Here is a 10,676-nt window from a genome sequence, read left to right on the forward strand (position 1 = left end):
AGGCCCCACCCATTGAGGAAGGATGGGACAGGGACAGGCCTGAAGAGGCGCTCTGACCACAGTCTGCCACAACCGGTGTGTTGGGCTGGGGGAGACACCTCTTGCAACCAAGTCATCCAACCCCCCTGGCTCCAGCAGGGGAAAAGCATGGCCTGGAGCTTTAGAGATGGATGCCACCCTTCCCCTGCCCAGGGAGCTCAGCGTGTTAGGCAGTTATGAGATCCCTTGCTGGCTGCTGCCCCTCCCCTAAAGAGCTCAAATGGCTCAGACAGCTGGCAGCCACAGCTGTGGTTCTGGTGGCCCCTCCCCCAAGGAGCTTGGCAGGCTTAAACAGATTCTAGCTGAGAAGCTGTTGAGAATCTGCATGGTTCTGGGGTTGGGGCTCTAGGCCCCCGTGGCATGGATTCGCGAGTGGGATCTTCCAATCCATGGTTGCACAGTTCTGTGGAAAAAGCACAGTTTCCTCAGCTAGGTAGCACCCTCACTCACCGCCTCCCTTGGCTGGGAGGTCAATGCTTGCCTGCCCCATTTGGCTCTCAGATGGGCCACTCACCACATTGCTCTTCCTTCCTCTCCGTGGATCATGCCAGCCGCCTAGTCAGTTCTGATAAGAGAATCTTGATACCTTGGTTGCTGGTGCAGGAATCACATGCAAATTATGGTTCTTTTTGATGAGAGCCTCCAATCACCGCTGCTTCTAGTCGGCCAACCTTGCCCCACCTACCCACTTTTTTTATATATTACTCCCTTCAAAAGGTGGAGCCCAGTTTTCTTCCCTTGAGTGCAGGCTAGACTTAGTGACTCCCTTCCAAGATACAGAATAAAGCTTAAGTGATGGTCTATGAATTAAGAGACTAAGTCCTAAAAGGCACTGTGGCTTCTCTGCTCTGTCCATTGGACTGCTCCCTCTGGGCAGTTAGATGCCAGGTCATGAAAATATTGAAGCAGTCATTGGAAAGGCTCTTGAGAGGCAGAGGTCTCCTGTCACTGGCCATGTGAGTGAGCCATCTAGGGACAGATCCTCCAGGTCCCATCAAGCCCCAGTTCTCTACAGCTTCTGCTGACATCCTGATTGGTGTTTCATAATAAATCCTGAGCCATAACAACCTAGCTAGGTCTCTCCCGAATTCCTAAGCTACTGAAAGTGTGAAACAAAAATGTTTGTTATTTTAAGCCTCTATGTTTTGGAGTAAGTTGTTTTTCAGCAATAGATAATTCATGCAAGTTTATAGTTCATTTTTACTTAATGTAATTACCATTATGGTTATGTTTCAATCTGCCATCTTGCTTTTGTTTTTTATTTGTTCCATCTGTTCTTTGGTACTTTGTTTCTATGTGCCGTTTTTCCTATTTTCTTTTGGATTAACCAAAGAGTTTTACATCTTTCATTTTGTCTACTCTATTTGCTTTTTGTTGTTGTTGTTGTATTGCTTTGGGTTTTTTGTTTGTTTGTTTGCTTGTTTGCTGTTGTTGTTGTTTTGTTTTTGGTACGCAGTCTCACTCTGTTGCCCAGGATGTAGTGCAGTGGTATGATATCGGCTCACTGCAACCTCCACCTTTCAGGTTCAAGTGATTCTCCTGCTTCAACCTCCCCAGTAGCTGGGATTACAAGTATGCACCACCACGCCTGGCTGATTTTTGTATTTTTAGTAGAGACAGGGTTTCACCAATATTTGCCAGACTGTTCTCAAACTCCTGACCTCAAGTGATCCATACACCTTGGCCTCCCAAAATGCTGGGATTACAGGTGTGAGCCACTGCGCCTGGCCTCTAGTTGCTTTTTTAATTGTAACTTGTTGTAATTTAAATTGCTTCTCCAAGGATTATAGTAGGCCTCCTCAATTTATCACAGCCTGGCTTGGATTACTATTATAGAATGCTTATCAAATATAAAAACTATAACAGCATAATTTCAATTATCCCCCATTATTCCCTTTGTGCTTTGGTTGCCATATATTTTACTTCTACATATGTTATTAATTTCATTGCATATTTGTATTGTTGTTTTAAATAATCAATAGTCCTTTAAGAAAAAAATGTAATTTTTTTTTGTATTTACCCACATATTACAATTTCCAGTGCTCTTTTTTTTTTCTTGTTAAACTATAATACTTCACATTTAGCCCAAGGAACTTTCTTTGGTGTTTTTGTAGCATAATTCTGAGGGCCACAAATTGCTCTGACTTTTAGTTTAAAACACCTTTCTTTTTCTCCCTTAATTTTTGGAGGATATATTCACCAGATATAGTATTCTTGGCTTTCTGTTTTATTTTAACGTTTTTTAAATGTCATTTCATTGTGTTCTTATTCCATTTTTCCTAATGGGATGTCAGATTTACCTTTGGTTTTCAGCAGTTTGACTATGTTGTGTTTAAATATTTTTCCTGCTTGATATTTGCTGAGTTTCTGCGATCTGTAGTTGATATTCTTCATCAATATTGGAAATGTTCAATTATTATGTTTTCAAGTATTTTTTCTCTTTCTTCTATTTTGAGGCTCCAGTTGTTCATATGTTAGACTGCTTGACAATGATCAGTCTTAGGCATTCTGTACGTGATGGTTGTTATGTTTGCTTTTTACTTTCTCTTTTCTTTTTATTCTTCAGTTTGTATAATTTCTATTGACCCGTCTTTTAATTCACTGATCCTTTCTTCAATTATCCAGTCTAATATTGTCACCTCAATGAATTCTTAATTTCAAGGAAGATAATTTCCAGTTCTAGAATTTCTGTTTCCATTTTTTTGATAAAATTTTCTATTTGTTCACCATTATGTCCACTTTTCTATAATTTTTTAAATTACTCATTACTGTGATTCTTATTTCTAATTCCAACCTTTCGGTCATCTGTGAGTCTACCTCTATAACTTCATTTTCATTATTATGGGTCATGTTTTCCTGTTTTTTTATGTTTGGTTATTTTTTATTGTATGCTGGACCTTATCAATGATATCTGTAGAAGTTCTGGGTTATCTACCTCCAAATAATGCTAAGTTTTGTTCTGCTAGGTAGTCAAGTTACTGGCAGTGAAGGTCTATCTCAGGTTTATTCTTGATATTACAGTGTTTTCCACCAGGGATGTTATCTTTATACCTTAGATATTGTTTTTCTGGAGTTCATACTGAATGTCAAGTGTGTTCAACAAGGCAGCTAAGCTGGGGTCAGAACTCCAATATCTCCCCAGCACTTTGCAACCTTGGAAAACTCTTCTCAGCTCTAATTCTATGTTCTGGTTACTGTTGTTGTGTAACAGATTACTCCCAAAACTTAGCAACTTCAAAAGCCATTTTATTATGCTCTCAGCTTCTGTTGATCAGGAATTTGTGCAGAGCAAAATTGACTTGTCTTTGCTCTACAAAGCAGTCACTGTCTATCAAGACTCAAAAGGAGAGAAACAGACTCCATTTCTTGATGGGAGCATGCCAAAGTCATATTTTTAAAGAGCATGTGGGATGACAGATATTGTTTGACCATCTTTACAAAATTCAATCTGCCACAGTCCCCCAGCAGCTGTTATTGGCTTCTCAGTCTTTTGCTAAATATGAGCAAATTGGGATTTGGCCAAGCTCTTAAGGATTTCCAGGGCTTCTTTTCCAAGGTTCCCTCCTCTCTGGTGCCGCACCCCTAAAATTCCAGCCACCTGGCAGCCCCAAATTTCTATCTCTTTTTCCTCTGCTCAGCAAGATCACCTTCTATTTAAGCTCTATTTTCCTAAGCTGTGGCTTAAAATTGCCCCCATGCAGAAAACCAGGGTCAATGTGGAGCTCACCTCCTGTGCTCTTCTCGGGGTATACAGTCCAATGCTGTCCTCTGTTCCGTGTCCAAAAGTAGTTGCTTCAAATATTTTGTTCAATTTTATAGTTGTTTAATGTGAAATGATATGATACACTGAGTCTAAGATGGTCCCCTGTTTTCTCTGACTCTTAATGTTTATTCCCTTCGTGTGTGGGAAGGATCCGTGACCTGCTTCTAACCATATAGAATATGCCAAAGGTGATGGGGCTTACAGGCATATGTGTACCTGATTTCTGAATATGGGTATATTACATAAGATAGTAGTGCCTGTTCTATTGCAGTCTCTCCCTTTCCCCTGCTGACTTTGAAGAAGCAAACTGTGATGTTATAAGCTGCCTGTGGGGAGGGCCATGTAGCAGGAAACTAGAGGGTAATCTCTTACCACAGCCAATGCACACAACTAGGGCTCTTAGTCCAGCAGCTTCCAGGGAACTGATGAGACCCCAGCCATGGTCAATACCTTGATTGCAGTCTTACAGAAATCCAGTTAAAGAGTGCCCAGAATCCTAACCCATAGAAACTATGAGATAATAAATGGGTGATATTTTAAGCTATGAAGTTTGTGGTACTATTGTTATGCAGCCAAAGACAATACAGATAAGTCTGATCCTACCAACTCCTTTGTGACCATCCTTCCTTTGTTGGCAACCATAGACCTCCATGGGCCTAGGAAAGGTTAGGGGATGAGGTGTCTTATGCATCATGAATTCTCAACTAACAGACACCTCCCAATCTCTTTTAGTATATGCCTCAAAGCATCCCCTTTTATCCCAGTATTCAACAGTCCATTCTTAGAGCTTCTTTATTCTTTGAATTAAACATTCATCCATTCAACAAAGTTGTACAAAGTCTCCTATATGATAGTCCCCATGCTTGGCACTGAGGAAGAAAAGATGAGTTAAGCATTGTCCCTGCCTTCAATAAAGGCACAATGCAACTCACTTTATATATTTATCTTATTTAGTATTCACAATAGGCCTATGAGGTGGGCACCATTATTGTCTGTATTTTGCAAATTAGGAATTAACACTCAAAAAGGTTGAATCACTCATCATAGACATACGGCTAATGTGTAGTATAACTGGGTCATAATTTGAACTCAGGATTTTTTTATGCCAAAGTCTTCCCATTACATCATACTAAATTACTGCCTAGTGTGGGAGACAGACAAAAGAAAAACGTTATTATAACTCACTGTAATGAATACTCTACTAGAGGAAGCAAGGAGAGACTAGGGAGCAGAGAGAGGAAAGTTTTGAAATCAAGAAAGGTTATCATGGGAAGTGGGCAGCTGAGCTGGATCTTTCTGGCTATCAAAGACAGAAGCAGTGCTGGGTCAGAGAGACCAGCAGGAGGGCAAAGCCACACAGTGTGGCACCTGCTGGGGAGAATCCACTCAGTCATGGTGGTGGATGGAAGTGTGGGAAGAGTGGCATGTAGGGGAGGATTCCAGTCACTAGGATGAAAGCGCGAGGATGGGAACTAGATGGTGAGGGTCTCCCTTATGGCATGAGGAAGCATGGCAGGATGACTCAGACCACTGAAGGCCACGGGACCTCTGACCACAGGGGAATCTGGGACAACCAGTGTCAGCCACTCTGCACCAGGCATGCCATGGCTGCCTCCCTATCATTCCCACTAAGAGAAAATGCTCCACCCATGGCCTTTGCTGAAGAGGTGGTCTATGGAACCGTGACTATACCCATGACCTCATGCTTCTGTCCACAGATGATTGACCCAGGACTAGATATGCATTTTTGCTTTCCTCCTGGGTCCATGTAATTAGCACAGCACACCAGGAGATCCTGCAGGTGTGGCTGAGATGCAGACCTTGAGGATCAGGACCATCGTGGGCACCAAGGCTGTCCAAAGCCACAGATGAGCTTAGGTACCAGAGCATCCAACAAGTCACAGACCAGCCAGTCTACAGAGGAAAATAGATGAGTGGAGCAGAAACCCAGAGGGATGCAGTGGTGAAACTGAGACCCCAAAGGAACAGAGGAGGAAAGATGGCCTGAGGAACTCCCTCCTGACTCCCCATTTCTCACAAGGTCAAGTTGTATGTCCTGTTCCTCAATGCCAAAAGAATTCCCTACGTACTCACACACACACACACACACACACACAAACTTTTATACATGAGTTAGTTTGAGTAAGTTGCTGTTGGTTATAATGAATGACTCCTGTTCTGTTCAAGACCCTTGATTGCACGTGACAAAAACCCCGCACTGACTTGTTCCATCACAAAAGGATGTGCTCAGTCATATAACTGAGAAGGATGGGGTGGGAGTGGGGTTGATGGCATCCCACACAACTGAATCCAGGATGCAGGTCATGCCCTTGGTGAGCCATTCTGCTGGCAACCCAGAGTCACATTCTTCCAGGACTGCGACCCCATGGGAAGAGACAGTCTTTCCACTACCAACAGGAGAAAAATCCTGGGGAAAAACTCGTGCCAATCCCTGTGATCTGCAGAAGACCTGAGGACCAGGTATCTTACCCAAAAAAGGAAGAAAAGGGAGGTCCCTGCTGGGTGGCCCAATATAATAGCTACCACATTTCTAAACTAAGCTGGAACCAAAGAACAGGCAGCCCATTCACTGCAAACAACCTAAGATACACAGAGAATCCATTAATACCTGGTCCACACAACTCAAGCATGTGAGCAAATGGAAAGCCCTTGGGGGTCTACCCTCTCCCCACCTGCCTCCAAACACCAGGCCGACAGGGGTGCCCCGGATTATAGGAAGCAGCTGGCAGAGCAGAAGGAGTTCAGTCCATCAGAGACCTAGACGTGTGTCTCAAATCTGCTGTTCACTAGCTGTGGGATCTTGCGCAAACTGCAGGACCTCTCTGAGACTCCAGTTTTCATTAATAGAATGGAAGAAAAATTGTCCACATCACAAAGTAACTGTGAGGTTTACATCATGATGAAAAGGTCTATAATGTTAAATAAAGAAAAGAGACAGAAACACAAGAGGCAATATTATACATCCAGGTAGGCTGCATACAGCCCTGTGAAAAATTCCTGCACGCAGAAAACATCAAAAACTATGCAAGTGACATCAGTGGTTATCTCTGAGCAACAGAGCTTGAGGAGAAACTGTTTCTGACTGATCACATTTCTTCCTATTTGTCATGTCATACCTGAGAATTTGAGTTTTTGGCTCTCCAATTCTGCTGTGGCAATGCCCTGCCCCCGACAGCAGGCAATGGTCATACTCATTTTTCAGTTGCCCAAACGGGACAATTTCAGTGTAAAGGGCATTACTAAGGATAAGTGAGTTCTGTTACAATAGCAGTATATTCTGTTGTGAGTTCTGTTACAATATCAGTATATTCTTCTATGTCTGCATTATACATGCCCCAACAGAATAAAGGTCTTTTCCTTTAACATCGGGGGAGAACCTTTTTCTTCAACCACTATCTTGAGATGAATCCCAATCCCTCATACTGTAAATTCAGTGCTATCTTCCCATGTCTGGCCCTTCCTTCAGAGACAGCAGTCAGATGGCATTCCCCAACTGCACATGATTCTCCCACACAGCCCATCCTTCCAGAATCCTCCCAGCCAGCCAGCTCCCTGCTCCTCCACTCCCTGCCATAAATGGCTCAGAAGGGCCCTTCGCATGCCAGTCATCCTTGTCCTCCTGCTGTGAAGATTCCTGAGCTACAAACACAGTAGGGCTTTGCTTTCTGGGCAGGCAGTGCGTTGGCAGAAGCACATGCTTCTCAGAGAAAGGCCCCCTGGAATGTAGAGACTGCTCTCCCCTTCTCTAGCGGGGTGAGTCCTGCAAGTCATTAACAGGGGTTTGGAGAAGGGGGTGAGTCCTGCAACTCACTAACAGGGGTTCAGCTTTGTCATCTATAAAATGGGGGCAATTTTACTCACCTTACAGGGTTACTTTGAAGATTAAAGGTAATGAAAGTAAAGCACACAACCTGGTACCTCAAAAGCTTCCAATGAATGTGGCTTTTGTCCCTGGGAAAGTTAACTCCTAGCCAGCTACCTAAGCAAGAGCCTCCCTGGCTCCCTCGAAGCCTGCTCTCTGCCTCTGACCCTCTCCTGGGGGTTGTAAAGATCTGTAAAAGTCTGGTGGAATAAGTGGTAGCTCTCGTAGCATAGGGCTCCATTTGGCGGACGGGAAACCGAGGCCCGGAGACATCAAGCTCTAGGGAAGGTTAAAGCCGGCCGCCAAATTCCTCGTCCCTCTCTCCAAGAGGCGGCATCTGTTTTCCTGCCCTTGGGTCGGCCTGGCCCTGAGAGGTCAGCAGGAGTCTGCGGCAGTGGCTCTGTGCCTATCTGGGTCTCGCCTTGCGGAGGAACTTCCTCTTCTCCCCTCCTCAACACTGGCTTTTAGGGTCCTCCCTGGAGGAGCACAGCCACAGGAGCGGCTCGCGTGGGCACTGACTACGGTCGGGAGCCCCAGCCAGCTCCCAGTCGACAGTCAGCACCACTGCCAGCCCCGGGAGGGCCAGCCCCGTGGGAGGACCAATCCCGTGGAGGACCAGCCCCGTGGGAGGACCAGTCCGTGGAAGACCAGCCCTGTGGGAGGACCAACCCCGTGGAGGACCAGCCCCGTGGGAGGACCAGCCTGTGGAGGACCAGCCCCGTGGGAGGACCAGCCTGTGGAGGACCAGCCCCCTGGGAGGACCAGCTCATGGAAGACCAGCCCCGTGGGAGGGCCAGCCCAGTGGGAGGATCAGCCCCCTGGGGTGTCAGCCAGCCGAGCCTGCAAATGCAGCAGCCCCAGTCGACACCACGTGGATCAGAAGAACTCGTAGAAACGTGCGAGAATAAAATGGTAGTTTTAAGCCACTGAGTTTGGGGGTTGCTTTGTTTCATAGCCAATATTAATAGATACCCGAGGCATTGGTTTTGGCGAGGGCCACGCACAGCGCAGGTCGGGGCCTGGGAGCCCTGCAGGGATCAGATGGGGGCTAGGGGAATCTGGTCAGGCCCAGAGCCGGGTTCCCGACCCCAGCTCCGAAGCAGCTTTCTGGCTACGGCCGCGCAAGCCGCGGAGCCAACTGCGGGGCTCTATCTCCCCCTGGCGGAGCAGAGCTGGTACTTCAGAGCGCTGCCTGACAAGCCCGCTCCCCCGCGCCACCTGCTCGCCCTATTTCTGGACCCGGAGCCGGCCCCTGGCCCCGGAGGCCTCCAGCTGCCAGGATAGCTCGGCTGTGAGGCCGGGCCTGCGGCTGTACCAGCCCTGGCTGCCTGGGTCAACAAGAGTGCCAGCCCCCGGTGCTCAACCGGGCTGCCAATGGGGTTGGAGAAGACAGCAGGAAGCACTCTCCTAATAAATGAGGGGCTTCTGGAGAGGAGCTGGAAGCAGGGCTGGCACTGGAGGGGCTGCCTTAAGATACGCCTGCCCAGGGGCTCGGCCAGCAGGCAGAGGCCTTGCCTTCATCAGCACTGGGCCTTGCAGGGCCTAATGAAGACAGTCCCGGAACGGGAGTGAGGCTCCAGAGCTAAGGGGTCAGCCAGCCCCTCCCCTCCGCCCACAGGGAATGCCACCCAGCTGTAACGTCTGGTTTGTTCATGTAGTAAAATATGCATCACAAGAAGTTTGCCACTTTAACCATGTTGAAGTGGCATTAAGCGCATTCACATTGCTGTGCAACCATCTGCACCTTCCGTCTCCAGAACTCTGCCTCTTTCCAAACTGAAACTCTGCACCCACAAAACACTAATTCCCCCTTCCCCTTCCTCCAAGCCCCTGGCACCCACCATTCTACTTTCCATCTGTATGAATTTGCCTATTCTGGGGACCCCATGTAAGTGCAATCGTACGGTATTTTGTGACTGGTTTCTTTCACTCAACATAATGTCCTCAAGGTTCATATTCGCTGCAGGTACATGCTGCGTTTTGTTTATCCTTCATCTGTCGATGGACACCTGGGCTGCTTCCACCTTTGACTATTGTAAATAATGCACTATGAACGTGGGTATACAGATATCTGTTTCAGTCCTTCCTTTCACCTCTTTCTAGATATTGTAAAAAGTACTCTTTTGCCTCTCCCTCTGTTGACCACAAAATGAAGAGATGTAAACCTGCCTACCCAACCCCACACCCTGTACCAAAGGCTGGCTTGCGATCAAAACTCCCATTCCTAAGCCCCTTGCCTTTCCCACCAGTTTAATAAAAGTGAACATTGACAGAGCAGTGACCACATGGCACTGCCTTACAGACACTTTAATTCCCTCAGCAACCCTGGGAGGGAGGCATGATTATCTTCCTACTTTACAAATAAAGAAACTAAGGCTCAGAAAGGGCACAGACCCCACTGAAGTCACCGGCTGATAGGTTGCAGAGTCACAACTTGAAGTCAGGCCCATGTGAGTCCAAACTGGCTCCACACCCACACCCTGCTCCACACAGCCCCGCCCCAGCCCCCAACATGAGCAGCCCATCCTCTGCGGCTCCCTCCTGTCTCCCAAGCCTGACTGTTGATACTGTTTCTCCATCTTTCATCTTTTTCTTCCCCTGCTGGACAAAAAGTCATGCGGTCCTTCCCTCTAGGGGAGGCTGTGTGGTACATGGCTGACCCTGCTAGATAAGCAGCAGCCCTAGTTACCTTGGGAGCCGAGGCGTGCCCCAGCCACTCTCCCTGGCCCCAGCTCAGGACAGCAGTGAGGACTGTACCCCTGGCAGTGGCTTCTGGGTGATGTTAGGGGAAAGGAGACAAAGGGCTCTCTCAGCCAGCGCCTACTCATTCTCACCTCACTGGATGGGTCACCCTTCCCAGGAGGCAGAGCCCTGCAGTGACCTACAGGCAGCTTCAGCCCCAGGCCCTGCCTGTGCTCCCTGGGAGGTCAGGACAGGGCCAGGTGGGTGCCAAAGTCCAGAAGGATGAGTCTCAGTCTTCCAGAGCAGCCA

The 10,676-nt window shown here is 47.1% G+C and overlaps 1 annotated feature.

The window, feature by feature from the left end:
* Positions 7,629 to 8,596: an enhancer, noted in NCBI's record as "H3K4me1 hESC enhancer chr2:127728541-127729508 (GRCh37/hg19 assembly coordinates)". NCBI's record gives its function as "activates a minimal SCP1, AML or CMV promoter by ChIP-STARR-seq in naive H9 embryonic stem cells {active_cell/tissue: H9 hESC(naive)}" and the evidence as "EXISTENCE:reporter gene assay evidence [ECO:0000049][PMID:30033119]".

Source organism: Homo sapiens, chromosome 2, assembly GCF_000001405.40.
Source record: "Homo sapiens chromosome 2, GRCh38.p14 Primary Assembly".
Classification (NCBI taxonomy): Eukaryota; Metazoa; Chordata; class Mammalia; order Primates; family Hominidae; genus Homo; species Homo sapiens.